Below are 14861 nucleotides of genomic sequence, written 5' to 3'. Positions count from 1 at the left end.
TTTGAAAATAATATTCATTTTGAAATGAAAAATATTTAATAAGAGAAAATCTCAAACCTTAAATTTCTGTATCATTTAAGGCTCTTACATGTACAGCTAGCTCATCTATTATAGAGGCACGTTAATATTCTTGGTGGTCACAATTTTTAATTGTGGGTTGTTTGTGATAAAGACATACTCTAATCCCAACCTAAGAGATTATTTTCTCAGTTATTTTCTCAGTAATCAGTCTGTAAGTCTACCTCTGTGTAATTGAGATATTTTGGAAGTTGGAGCTCCTGGTGTGAAAGCAATTATTCAGTTTAGCTTTGAATTTTGTGACTCATATTGCCCATAACCATAAAGGCATTAGTAACATGGCTTAAATACTAGATGGGCATAGAGATTCTAGGTGATCACACTGCTCCTTGAATTTGTTGCTCCAAGGGCCACTGAAGCAAAGGTAATTGAAGAGATATATAGTATAATTTGGACTGATTCTAATGCACTAGATAAAAGAATGTAACATATTCTTGTATTGGGTAATTTAATGATTTCTAACAGGTCCACTTCTAATAAGAAGAAAGAAATTAGTGTTTGAATCCAGAAAGAAGAAAAATACAAAGAAAAAACATGAAAAAGGAAAAGGGAAATAAGTTGCCTAAATTCAGGCAAAGTAGCACTAAGATTGAAATCAGAGTTGGGTTTTAGATATATATAACAGATGAAGTGTGATTTATAGATATAACTTGCCTCAAATGCTGGAGATAAGTCTTAATAATAACATGATAAAGTTGTTTTTCTTTCAAAATCCAATTCCAGAATACAGTGATTTGGTTTGAAACTCACAAGGTAAGTTAATTTGAATTAAGTGCGATTTTTAAAACATAAAAATGTCTCCTTTCAGAACCAATGGACCAATAAAAGGCCAGTTGATTTCCTTTATTGAATCTGAATTTACTCATATTGTGCTGATTTTCTACCAACCCATTACATCTTACAAAATTTTTCCCATACAATTTCCTTCCCGAGAACTATAACTGGCAATAACAGCAACCAGACTATATGAAGGCCTGGTAAGTCTCACAGAGGTACAAGCTTCAGGTGGATTTATTTGTGTATTACATAAAAACTTTCCTCTCATTTTAGCCAGTAGTGATCAATTACTAATAATAAGCATGATGTAACACTGGTGTTTAAAGATTTGTGAGTAGAATTGAGCACAGTGGCTCACACCTGTAATCCCAGCACTTTGGAAGGCTGTGGTGGGAAGGTTGATTGAGGCCAGAAGTTCAAGACCATCCTTGCAACAGGGGGGCAACATAGCAAGACCCCATCTCTAAGAAAATTTTTTTAAAATTAGCCAAGTGTGGTGGTGCACACCTGTAGTCCTAGCTCCTTGGGAGACTGAGGCAGAAGGATCACTTGAGCCCAGCAGTTCGAGGGTACAGGAGGCTATGATTGTGCCACTGCACTCCAGCCTGAGTGACAGAGCAAGACCCTGTCTCAAAAAAAAAAAAAAAAAAAAAAAAGATTTGTGTGTAGAGATCACAAACGCAACTTCAGGGACCAAACATGTACAGTGTATAGGCCGAACTGTAACTTTATAAGAAAGTAGAAAGTAATGGGCTATGTTGGGAGCTAAACAGTGCATGTCTTGTCTAAGGAATTCAAAGCTTTTAAAAACACTCTTGTAGGCTTACAAAACCTATGTTTGGAGGCAGGATTTATCTTGACCACTATTTCAACACCTCTAAATAGGAATAGGACTTACATAGAAAAAAACTCGAAATGATCTCCTACCCCTTCAATTCCAGGCTCGACCTTTAGAATGAAATTTCTCATCTTGGCTGGCCTTTTGAGCACTGCCACTGCTCTGCCCATCCCCGTGAGTACACCCTCCTCAGCTGCTGACTCAATTTCAGATTTAGAGTCATCGCATTTCTCGGCTAGAAAGCAGGTCTTATCTTTTCATTTCACAAAAGAGGAAAGCGGAACCCAGGAAAGTCATAGAACTAGGAGTTCACCACTCTTTGTCAGTCCAAGACTCTGCCCAGTACAAATCTCAGCTCCATATGCCATGTGCTAGCTGTGTGACTTTGAACTAACCCATGGTTTCCTTGTCTATAAAATGAGTCCTAGGAACACCTCAGAGTTGCACGGAGATGATTTTTTTAATGCATCTAAGGCAGAGAAGGGTCCTATTTGAAAGATAGGATGTTCTCAATAAACTCAGTGATATAGAACAAATATTCTGCAGTGACCCAGGTCTAAATTAAGCAGTTTGAATTGAGTTTCATTTGTAATGCCCTTGCCCCAAACCATCTCATGTTTTCTTAAAAGGCTGTTACATGGAAATGCTCTGACACCAAAGGACTATCTACCTCATTGTAGATTTGATTTTAAAGAAGGAAATATTTAAGATAACTTACATTGATTACTAAATTATGAATATAAAAACAACTTATGCCTGAATTATATTTGAGTGATCATACAGACACACCTTTAAAGTCCAATTTTTGAAAACCAGATTTGGATAAAAAGCTACATTCATCTATAGTGCCCTTGATAACAAACCTAATTTGTTTCTTTAGACCACAATCCTTTTTGCCAAAGCTGGCAAGTATCGTGGTCTAAAATTCCAAACAATTTGTATTGCCTGTTTCTTTAGGCTGATGGGAATGCTGCAGTATACATATTTCATTAATTCTAATATGTACTTTTTGATATTTCAGCAGCTCTGAAATTGAGCTGTGTCTTAAAAACACAATTTGATAAAGTGTCACGGCAGCTTAACAGCAGCGCTTTTCTTTTTTGGTAATTTATGAAATAATGGTGCTTTTGACAATGATAGCATCTAAGAATATATGAAATACTGTAATCCCAGAACATCATTAACTTCACCTATATAGACATTTTGTCATCAACTGACTATATACAAATGAGATCCACTGAGTCTAATCTGGGTTTACTAGTCTGAATATGAGGGCACCAAGTAGGCAAGAAACTCTCTCCCCTGCACACTTTGTATCAAAGGAGCTTTTGAAGAAGTGAGGGAGCTTTCAAAATTTGTGTTTGGGGTGCAGAACTTAAGTGTACATTTCCACACTCCCTTCACTTTGAGTTTATAACTACTGAGAACTAAATCAAGAACACCATTCAAAGATTTACAAAAGGAAATATTCATGTAATATGGAATTAATCTTAAGAAATGTAAATAAAAGCATTCTTTGGATATAAATTTAAAAGCAAAAAGCCTTGGTCTTCCAAATCATTGCACAAAATTAATTAAACTTTTCCCTATTAGATATCCAACTGCTTTTTATTTCAGAAGTGAAGTTACATTACTGATGGGTATAATGCTCCATAGTGGCTTATTACTTATTCTCCTTTAGAACAAAACCTCTCTTTAGTGGATAATGTATTTCCATATGCTGCTTTACCTTGTTGCTGTTATTGTTTTGCAAGCTCGAACAATATGCTGAAAGTTCCAGTGAACAGGTGAACTTCTAATTGTATTTTTAAATAATGCATTCATCATTTTAAAAGTCTGCCATTGTCTGAAATGACTGACATCATGTTTCTTTTTACAGAGATTTATCTTTTACCCACCACAAGTACCACCATTTTTCCCTCAGGTCCTCTTTCCCCTACCTCCGCAACCGCCCCTGGTAAGCATGGGTTTGGGGAATCTGAAATAGCTAAAAGGATTTATTTGTTGGATGGTGGTTATGAAACTTTCCAAATTTTGATACTGAAATATGAGGCTTTAGGCAGTCCCCAGGAATCAGCTATTCAAACTTCTCTCCCATATAGCTTATAGTGGAACGTGACAAGGGGCTAGCAAATTTCCCTCCAAATCTTCAGTGCCCTCTCGCAGTGTTTCTCTGCACTTACTATTAAAAAGGTGTTTGTGCTGAATTACTTTGACCGTTACGAGCTTACTCTTTATGAAGAGAATACTTCTTTCTATAATATCCATTCTTTTGCTTTTTCAAATTCACCTTGTTGCTTTCTTTCTCTAAGAAGATTTTTTTTCCCCAGCTTTCTATAACTTTTTCCCAAGTTCAAGCAAAATAGTTATTTTGCTTTTCTGTTTGGACTCTCTCCAGGCTCTCCTAATATCTGGATTCTTAAAACATTTTTTCAATAAAGTTTGGAACAATGCTAAATACACAATAGAGTTGCCTTTATTCTATATATAACACTTTTGTAAGTCGACTACATTATAGAGTCAACGGTGAGTGCTTGAGGTACAAACAGTATAAGTTCAGATCTGATGAGGAAGAGAGACTCATAAAGGGAAACTACAATGTAATTTGATAAGTATTTCGAGACACAAATACAAAGCTATGGATCAAAGACTTCAGAGAAGACAGTATCTGAACCAGGTCTTGAAGGAAGACAAATGGATGAAACATTTCAGGCAGAGGAACAGCAAGTGCATGGGTGCAGACTTGAAAAGCACAAGGCAATTTGCGGGTAGAAAATTATTTTAGTCTAAAATAATGATGCTGCAACACAGATTGGGGCCTTGTTAAATTTGGATAAGTATTTAAGCAATGATTTTTTTCTTTAAAAATCACATACATTTTAAAACTTCACATACCCCTTATTTACAGACAAGGACCTCACTATGTCACCCAGGCTAGTCTCAAACTCCTGGGCTCAAGTGATCCTCCCACCTCCCACAGGCTCCCCAGTAGCTGGATTATAGGTGCACACCACCATGCCCAGCTCACAAACATTTTAAAACTACATCTTGCTTAATATTGTCTGATCTCCTAAATATTTTTAAATATACAAACATGATTTTGTGTAACTGTTTTTATATCTAAATTTAATAAACACCTTCCCTTTGCTTGCATTTAATTTCAAACTGTGTTTCTCTCAACTTTTAAAAATTTGTCACTAAACTTAGTCCTCAATAGAACATTTCTTCTCCTTTAATGTTTTTACTTGTTCTGATTGAATCCCAGCTGTTAAATTCTAAATATTATTCTTGCACTTATAATTAATTGCTAATTATTTTGGTTCTAGTCAGGACTAGGTGCATTGTTTCCCTATTGTTTGCTAAAATTTGTTTTTTTTGTTTTCGTTTTTGTTTTTTGAGACAGAGTCTCTCTCTGTTGCCCAGGCTGGAGTACAGTGGTGCAATCTCAGCTCACTGCAACCTCCGCCTCCCAGGTTCAAGCAATTCTCCTGCCTCAGCCTCCCGTGTAGCCACCATGCCTGGCTAATTTTTGTGTTTTTAGTAGAGATGGGTTTCACCATGTTAGTTGGGCTGGGCGAACTCACTCCTGACCTCAAGTGATCTGCCTGCCTCGGCCTCCCAAAGTGCTAGGATTACAGGCATGAGCGACCGTGCCCTGGCAAGATTTATTTTAAACTGATGCAAAATCTTGGAGTCTTGGTTTATAATTAGAACTTAGGAATCGCTGTTAACATTTAAATTTAAATTTATTTAAATCTATATGACAATTAAAAGAATCACTCTTCTGTGAAATGGAAACTCTTCCTACCACCAGATGGCAGACTAGTATCTTCAAAGCAAGCAAAGAAAGTAACACTTACTGTAGGGAAAGTGGTAGATTTGTAAAAACTATCAACACATTAAGACAGATTCCTGGGCTTTAAGTTAGATAAATTAAGAAGAACAACCATACCTCTTGAAAGAAAATATTATATTGAACCCACTAGATTCTAATCTCCACCAAATAGAAGGTGAGCTCTCTAAGTGTCATTTACTGCTATCCCTAAACCCTAGATATAGAATAATTGCTCAGTAAATATTGTAGGGATGGATGGATAGATGGGTGGAAGGATGAGTGAATGTATGAATAAATGAGAAAAAGCAAGAGAGAGTGTTCACAGTTTCATTCACAATTTACTTTTTTTTTTTTTTTTTTTTTTTTTTTTTGTAGATTTCTATTCCTTTTCCTTTTCCTTACAATCCAAATCAGGTGGTTATACTTAAAGCTTCCTTAGGAAATACTTAAACTAATACAAAACAAAAACTTGAAAATTCTTTAGATTTAATTGGGGAGAATTTGATACCAATAATTACTGGCTAACATTCTCTTTGGGGGACCACTAGTTATTGATATTTTGTTTGATTTGAGTAATTGAATGTTCAAATTTCACATATCCTTGAAAACTGAATTACCTAAGACCTGAAACTTTCCTTATTTGTGTAGAATAAACCCAGGGACCAACCAGTAGAAAAAGCACTTAATTTGAAGTTAAATGATCTGGAGATGTAAGCTCCATGTCTGCCCTTTAATACTTTGGAATTATCTTTAACTCCTGTGACCCTTATCCTCTTCTAGAATATAAAACAGTGACAACAGATGATTTACAAAGTCCATTTCACCTCTAAAATTTTATGCTTACATTTGTCATTAGTGGGGGTAAAATGCATTCTTATTGAAATGTAATATATCCTAGAAGCATTTGAAATAGATTTAAGGTTACAGTCATGGTATAAAGGAATTGCTTAAATTTTACTTTTGAAAAGATTTTACTGAATTAGTGATAAATACATAAGATGAGGCGGATTCAGTATCATACAAAAAAGTTATGTATATTTCAGCATATTAACTCCAAGTAATAATATTCCTATTATGATTTTCTGTTGTTGTTTTTTGAGACTGAGTCTCGCTCTGTCACCCAAGCTGGAAGTGGTGCAATCACAGCTCACTGCAACCTCCACCTCCCAGGTACAAGTGATTCTCCAGCCTCAGCCTCCTGAGTAGCTGGGACTACAGGGACGCACTACCACGCTGGGCTAATTTTTGTATTTTCTGTAGAGATGGGGTTTCACCATGTTGCCCAGGCTGGTCTCGAACTCCTGGACTCAAGTGATCCTCCTCCCTTGGCCTCCAAAAGTGCTGTATTACAGGCGTGAGCCACCATGCCCAGCACTCCTATTACGATTATAGGAAGTAATATTATTAAAGTTTTCTTTCAGAAAGAGGTGATCCCAAAATAGTCTTTTTCAAACCCAATAATCATAGGTTTAATAATCTTTCCAAGAAGTCACTGCTATGTCTGGAGCCCACAACAGAAAATACAGACTACATGTTTCCAGAGATAGGTTTGGGGTTGGGGGGGGGTACTTAAAATATTAGTGAATTTTAATAATTGAACTTTAGAAATGATGAGAATTCTAAAAAGCATGCTCTCGTTTACCAAGCTAATATAAAATATATAAGATACAAAAGTAGATGAAATGCTGAATTACAACTCCTTACTTTGACTGTTTCCTTTATTCTAGGTCCTCACACCTAATGATCTTATCGCGGTAAATATATTCTGCCCTGTTATTCTATAAAGTCCATATAAATACTACATTCAACATCTCTCAATGGTCCTAATTAAGGTAGGGAGCAGAGAAAGGCACCCTAACAGAACAAACGCTACCTGAGGGCATTGTTCGTGCCTAAGATCTGTCACAGTTGGGACAGTGTTTAGCTTAAATATTACTGCATACACTCTAAGACAGACAGCTCAACAAGTAAAGAGATTCACCTTTTAGACGGAGTTGGTCAATTTCTTGAGCAAGCTGCCAGAATCTTAAAACAGGACCATGTGGATGCTACAAAACAATTTTCCAGTAAAACTGCTTGTATAAGCAAGTTCTCAAAACAAAGTATTCATAGTTGTCCTAAAATTTTAGTTCAAGTATCATTCACACAGGGAATCTGAATCATTTATGAAAGATGGGACTTGTATGGAAGTGTACACAGAGGGTTTCTTAACCATTCAAATCAATTTTCTAACTTTCAAATATGGTAAATATCATTACAAAGCTGTAGAAAGAAAATATTTCTGTGAATTAAAGGTATTTAAATCCAGATATTGTCATTTTAAAATCTTGTATCATATAAATAATATACTAAGCAATAAAATGGAATTTTTCAATAAAATAGATTTTTGTATACAAAGTATACTAACTTGCATATGTAATAAGTTAAATGTAGGTTTAAAAATTAACCTATTGACAGCACTGATCATCAATTTTTCTTCCTTCACAGTTACTCATTGCTATTTTGAACCAACTAGGGGTAAGGCTCTATTTTTATGCTATAATAAACTACACATTTACTTAATAGACTAAAGATAACATCTTACTAAATTTTTTTTTGTTGTTTTTTTTTTTAACTTTTGGAACTTCTCTGGGGTAAGATTTTATTTCCATGACTAAATTGATAAAGGTAAGTTATATTCAATGCCACGAAAGGTAAGAGAAACTCTTTGTAACTATAAAAATATGAGAGTCAACCTCAACTGATCTACCAAACTAGAACTCATAAGTTATAAACTCATTTCCTCCAAAATCTTTACATCAAAATTTTTGCCAGTCTAAAAAGGTATTTTTTAATAATGTCCTTGATATTTCACAAAATTTAAATTTACAGGCATATATGCAATATGAAATTTCAAACAACAAAGTTTGCTTCAGGCTTTTTTTTTTTTTTTTTTGAGGAGTCTTGCTCTGTCACCCAGGCTGGAGTGCAGTGGCGTGATCTCGGCTCACTGCAACCTCTGCCCCCCCAGGCTCAAGCGATTCTCCTGCCTCAGCCTTCCTAGTAGCTGGTATTACAAGCATGTGCCACCACACCTGGCTAATTTTTACATTTTTAGTAGAGACGGGGTTTCACCACATTAGCCAGGCTGGTCTCAAACTCCTGACCTCAAGAGATCCACCCGCTTCAGCCTCCCTAAGTGCTGGGATTACAGGCGTGAGCCACTGTGCCCAGGCTTTCAGGCTTATTTTTGTCTTATAGGCAATTCATAGTAAATAATGAGAAAAGCCTACTGTAAAACTGCCACACCTAGAAATGGACTGATCTCAAGGCAAGGTAACACATCTTAACAAAAAGCATTAACTTGCTGGATACAAAGGCTACAAACTTTGACTTCTACTTTGACTTTCACTGAAGTTTGCTTTCATGTAAAATACATACCAAAAAAAAGAAAGAAAGAAAGAAAGAAAGAAAGAAAAACGTGGAGACCAAAAAGGTATATATCCCTTTTGTTGTTCTAATATTTTTAAGAAACAGGATCTTGCTATGTTGTCCTGGCTGGACTACAGAGGCTATTCACGGGCCCAATCATAGTGTATGTACTACAGCCTTGGAGAAAGAAACTGGATTTCCACCCAACTGCTTCTCTCCTAACAAGTTACATTGCCCTGAAGTGCTTATTTAGTACCTTTTACCATTTCAAATACTTAGACTATCTGAGGCCAAGTGGGAGAGATTAAGCTCTATGCTGTAAACAGTTAAGGATTCAATTTATCAGCATTTAACAGTTCCACATTATTTTCCACCTCCAACATACATGATTATACCAATATTAACACATCAGCAATAAAATAACCATAAAATGGGAGGCATGGGTGAAGAAGGAATTGTGGTGAAAATATCTTCATATAAATTATAACTATAATCTGTATTATCTATTTTGACAGAAATAATTCTCCCACTACTATGCCAGAAGTTACGTATGGTTAGTAAAATCTCCAAATTCTTTCATGCATTTATATCCTTTTCAATATTTTTATCATGAGTTTAATTGCCTCTGATTGTGTCCACAACGGTAAATTAATAATATGATGAAAATAGGTGTAAACAAGACCAATTAATTACAAATGCTTTCTTCAAAGGATGTATTTTAAAGTCAGTTTATTAAAACTCCAGAAATATTTTAGAAAATAACCACCACCAGAAGTCCTAAGCATAAGAAAACATACTGTTAAATAAGAATAGCCTCTCGAAGTGCTCAGAATTTTCAAGTTCCCCCTTTAGCCACCAAATATTTAAAGTAGTTATGATCCTAAGGAAACTTTGCATATCCTTCTATTTGAGTTTGAAATGCTTTCAAAAGCTCAAGAACACCTGCTGACAAAACAAACACTGACTGTGGCCCTTTATCCTTAGGTTATCATCAAATAAACTATCTTTGGGCCAAAATTACACAAACAACTTCAACAATGCTAGCCAAATCAGGTGTGGCCCTTAAATTTCAACTCACAAATCATAACTGCAATACTATGAATAACATGAGTACTACTTATGTTACACATAATCTTCCAAGCTGCATACTTAAATAATGTATCATAAAAGACTCTTAACCTTAGTAGGGAATACAACAGACAGAATAGCTTTGCAACCCAGTCAGACCATGATTCAAATCCCAACTCTACTAGCAAATAAAACTGCGGGCAACCTTTCTAAATATCAATGTATTCATTTGTGAAATGGGAATACTACTACCTAACAGGATGTGGATAGAATTAAGAAATATAATAGATACTCAGTAAATGGCAAATATTATTACTTATTTTACTAAATGTCTCTAAAATAAAAAACATTCATTTTACATAAGACATAAGGAAAATAAGTATGAAGGGAATATTACCTAGTGATATAGCAGATAGATCTTCCTCTAGGAATATCTGAAACTAACATTTTGTTTTTTCCCTATTATAGATGGTGCTGGATATTTACAGTTATCAGAAGAGTATCTACTTCTATCTTAACTATAGTTGATGGTAGTTTTATAATTTTGCATACTTTGTGCATGTTCCAGTGAAAACTCCAAAAAACCATAAAGAATGTATCTAGACCATGGGCTTTAGTCATACTTTAAATAAACCTTTAATATAACCAAATGTCTTTATTAATGGCAGTTCAAATGTATCAAAACTATTAAACAGGCTGGGCATGGTGGCTCACACCTGTAATCCCAACACTTTGGGAGGCTGGGGTGGGAGGATCTCTTGAGCCCAGGAGTCCAAGACCAGCCTGGGCAACATAGGGAAATTCCAGTCTCCACAAAAAAAAAATAAAAAAATTAGCTGGGTGTGGTGGTGCACACATGTGGTCCCAACTAATTAGGAGGCTGAGGTGGGAGGATTGCTTGAGCCCAGGAGGTTGAGGCTGCAGTGAGCCATAAGAGCACCATTGCACTCCAGTGGTGCTATCACGGGCAACAGAATGAGACCCTGTCTCAAAATACTATGACACACAAGTAAAGGCCAAAATTTTCAGAAAATTGCTCAAACTGTTAAAAGAGCTTTTGTAAACAAGTAGCTTCAATTTTGGAGAACTCCATTCAGTGATAGGAAGAAGCAATTTCTTCCTGCCAAATGGTGAAAGTAGAAGCCAACTCTTCCATGCAGGAAGGCCATCTAACCTCTTGAGCAGGTCATCCTCATCAAGTATCAATCCCTTATTACTCACCGTAGGGACCAGGATTTTATGGATTTTTAGAAGTTAATACATACATAAGCCCTATTTATAACTACTCCAGAAGGGTTCAAGGTATCCTGAAATCAAACATTCTAATGCTTTTCAGGAAAATCTACAGTCGTAACTAAGGGGAAAAAAGCCTCCTGTCAGTTCAATTCAGGTTTACCACCAAAATTTCTGACATCAAATAAACGAAACAAAAAACAGAACAACACTTTGTTTTACCTTAACCGTAATTCTGCTCTCTAGCTACAGAAGCCTAATCTTTTTCAAACATCTGAAGGAAAGAAAACAATAATGTCTGTCTCCCCTAAAGCTTTTCCTGAGATGCTCCAGCTATAGCCCAACCCTACTTAGGTGGATAGGAGTTCCTATCACAGGGCTTTCCAACAGAGATCCTTAGCCAGAATGAGATAAACATGTCCACTAAGACAAGGCAGTACTACTTTTCTTTCCTTTTCCTTGCTTCCAAAAACCCCCAAAGCACCAACCCCCTCCTTTCCTCTGGGATTTATAACATTAACCATGCTTTTCTCAAAAATCTATTTCAATCTTTAACATTTCTTTCCTAACAAAAAAACACTAACTCACAGAGACCTCCACCTCTGTTCCTGTTTTTATAGAACCAAAATAATTACTTAATAATTATATATTGATCACATATTAAGATATTTTGGATATAATGGATTAAATAATTACAAACCATTTTACTTGTTTCTTTTTATTTTTAATGTGACTACCAAGAAGTTTAAAATTCACACATGGCTAACATTTTCCTTTGTGTTTATTTTGTTGTTAAGTACAGGGGTACATGTGCAGGTTTGTTACATAGGTAAACTTGTGTCATGAGGGTTTGTTGTACAGATAATTTCATCACCAAGGTATTAAGCCTAGTACTCATTAGTTATTTTTCCTGATCCTCTCCCTCCTCCCACCCTCCAATAGACCCCAGAATGTGTTGTTCCCATGTCCATGTGTTCTCACCATTTAGCTCTCACTTATAAGAGAACATGCAGTGTTTGGTTTTCTGTTCTTGCATTAGTTTGCTAAGGATAATGGCCTCCAGCTCCACCCATGTCTTTTCAGAGGACATGATCTTATTCTTTTTTACGGCTGCATAGTATTCCATGGTGTACATATACCACATTGTCTTTATCCAGTCTATCACTGATGAACATTTAGGTTGATTTCATGTCTTCGCTATTGTGAATAGTGCAGCAATGAACATACACGTGAGTATGTGTTTATAATAGAACAATTTATATTCCTTCGGGTATATACCTAGTAATGGGATTACTGGGTCAAATATCTTTAAATATTTGAGGACTCTCTACACTCTCTTCCACAATGGTTGGACCAATTTACACTCCCACTAACAGCGTATAAGCATTCCTTTTTCTCTACAACCTCACTAGCATCTGTAATTTTTTGTCCTGATTTCAATTCTTTTCTGAACATCCATTTTTAACTAATTTACAACATATAGTAGTTTCACTAGAGTGAAATGAACATACTGATTTAAATTACTAACTTCCTGGACTTTTTTTAATTCAGAATTTTTGAAAATGAGAGTATCAGCTCTTGTTCACTGATTTTGATCTCTATTGACTAGTGGCTGAAATTTCCTCTTAAAACTAATGCTTCTAAAGTCAAGAAAACATAGTTTCCATTTTCAAAATTAGCTTCAACAAGATCATGTGAAGCAAAATGTGAAGGAAATAATTTAAAGAAAAATCAGATGAAACATTAAACTATACATCCAGTGGCGGTACTCTGCCTAAAGGAGTTTGATGTGGCAGGAACATCCTTCAGGCCTCAGAAGATGGGGAGCGGGAGGGAAGGCATTGACAAACAAGAACTAGATGAAACAGAAGTTATAGCTGATCAAGAATTTATCTTTATTCTGATTATGATTCTTCAAAGAGCATTAGTTGTTTAAATTTAATTTAAGCCATGCTTAAATCGAATACATACAAAATATGATTACTTATATTCCTTTTGACCAAAGAGCTGAAAATTTTGTGTTCCAGTTCATCTTACTCATGTTATTCTGATGCGAAACACTCTAAATGCAAATTGTTTTGAAAGTAAATAGGCCAAGTGGCCTACCCTGCCCTTTTTATAGTATAAATTCTGTGATACTGCCTTCTTTTCAGTATATGCTCCTCTGTGGGCCTTTGGCTTACACGGAGACCATCAGCTACAACGCATGGCAGTCAGCTTCAGAGTCCTCGCTCCAGTGTGCATCTCGTTTCTCAGCCACAAGTTTGATGAATTGAGAGTGACTGGCATAAAGCTTCAGTTTATCATTGATGTCCACCCATTTCACTTTTCCAGCATCATCTCCAGCTTCTAGCATAAGATTATCCATTATCTCACCTGGTTGCCAAAGAAAAACCATCACCAAGAAAAACTCATTTCTGTTTTAGCATATCTATGTCGTCAAGTATTCTTATTTAAAATAATCTTATATCATCATTGTACTAGCCGGCCAAGTGAATTAAAAACTAGACCATTCCATCCCTGGTCAGCAGAATGAATAAAAGAAAAAAAACTAGAGTATTCCAAAATGTCCAAATTTTAACCAAGTCCCTAAATTTTAGATAAACACAAAGAGTTTTCTCTAAAAAGATTATCCTTAAAAACGAGATTATATTACATGAATATGAAACCTTACATCAAAATCAGTCCAAGAGGGATGAGAGATTTAAATGTAAAAAAATAAACAAAGCTGAGGCGGGTAGATCACCTGAGGTCAGGAGTTCGAGACCAGCCTGGCCAACATGGTGAAACCCCATCTCTACTAAAAATACAAAAATTAGCCAGGAGTGGTGGCACATGCCTGCAGTCCCAGCTTACTTGGGAGGCTGAGGCAAGAGAATTGTCTGAATCCATGAGGTGGAGGTTGCAGTGAGCCAAGATCACACCACTGCACTCCAGCCTGGCAACAGGGTGAGACTCCACCTCAAAAAAAAAAAAAAAAAATTTAAATTATCAAAAAAATAAAAAATAAGTGCTCCCAATCACTGCTGGGAATATAAATGGAATATTTCTGTAGGAAATTTGGCAATGTTTATCAAGAGCTTTTAAAAAGTAAGTTTTCTTTGACAAGCACTCATTCTGTAAATATCAGAGTGCATCTTGTGTGCCAGACTGTACTAGGCACTGAAGATACAATAAGCAATCCAGTAATTCCTCTTTGAAGAATTTATTCTGATGAAATAGAGACAAGCCTATTAAAGTATTCAAGGCAACATTACTTAAATATTTTATTTTATTTTATTTATTTTTAGATGGAGTCTCGCTGTTGTTGACCAGGCTGAAGTGCAGTGGCACAATCACGGCTCACTGCAACCTCCGCGTCCTGAGTACAAGCGATTCTCCTGCCTCAGCCCCCCGAGTACCTGGGATTACAGGCATCTGCCACCACGCCCAGCTAATTTTTTTGTATTCTTAGTAGAGACCACACTGCCATACCAAAAACTGGAGAGACAGGCAAATACAGAGAATCACAACTGACCAGGGAGAGAAGCCTACCGCTGGAGTCAGCACCTGGTAGGAACACTTAAAGGGTAACTAACTGCTGAAAGCTGACCTTTGGACTAGCTTGAAAGATAAAATCTC

The 14861-nt window shown here is 36.0% G+C and overlaps 2 protein-coding genes across 5 annotated transcripts in view; one reads left to right on the top strand and one right to left on the bottom strand.

The window, feature by feature from the left end:
- Positions 1 to 408: 408 nt before the first annotated feature.
- Positions 409 to 10657, top strand: SCPPPQ1 (secretory calcium-binding phosphoprotein proline-glutamine rich 1). The gene is made up of 10 exons (NM_001405228.1): positions 409 to 442; positions 802 to 831; positions 1797 to 1867; positions 3448 to 3480; positions 3573 to 3650; positions 7256 to 7282; positions 8016 to 8045; positions 8167 to 8195; positions 9455 to 9492; positions 10476 to 10657. The coding sequence occupies exons 3-8, from the start codon at positions 1811 to 1813 to the stop codon at positions 8179 to 8181; spliced, it is 240 nt and encodes a 79-aa protein (NP_001392157.1). The 5' UTR covers positions 409 to 442; positions 802 to 831; positions 1797 to 1810; the 3' UTR covers positions 8182 to 8195; positions 9455 to 9492; positions 10476 to 10657.
- Positions 12004 to 14861, bottom strand: part of NUDT9 (nudix hydrolase 9) — a 36883-nt gene continuing 34025 nt past the window's right edge. For all 4 annotated transcript variants that reach the window (NM_024047.5, NM_001248011.2, NM_198038.3 and 1 more), the window contains one exon: positions 12004 to 13616. In NM_024047.5, the coding sequence (NP_076952.1) occupies positions 13438 to 13616 (179 nt within the window). In that variant the 3' untranslated portion in view covers positions 12004 to 13437. The remainder of the gene's footprint in view (positions 13617 to 14861) is intronic.

The sequence above is a fragment of the Homo sapiens genome, chromosome 4 (assembly GCF_000001405.40).
Source record: "Homo sapiens chromosome 4, GRCh38.p14 Primary Assembly".
NCBI lineage: Eukaryota > Metazoa > Chordata > Mammalia > Primates > Hominidae > Homo > Homo sapiens.
The sequence above is the reverse complement of the archived record's forward strand: the minus strand, read 5'-3'. Positions and strand labels throughout refer to the sequence as shown.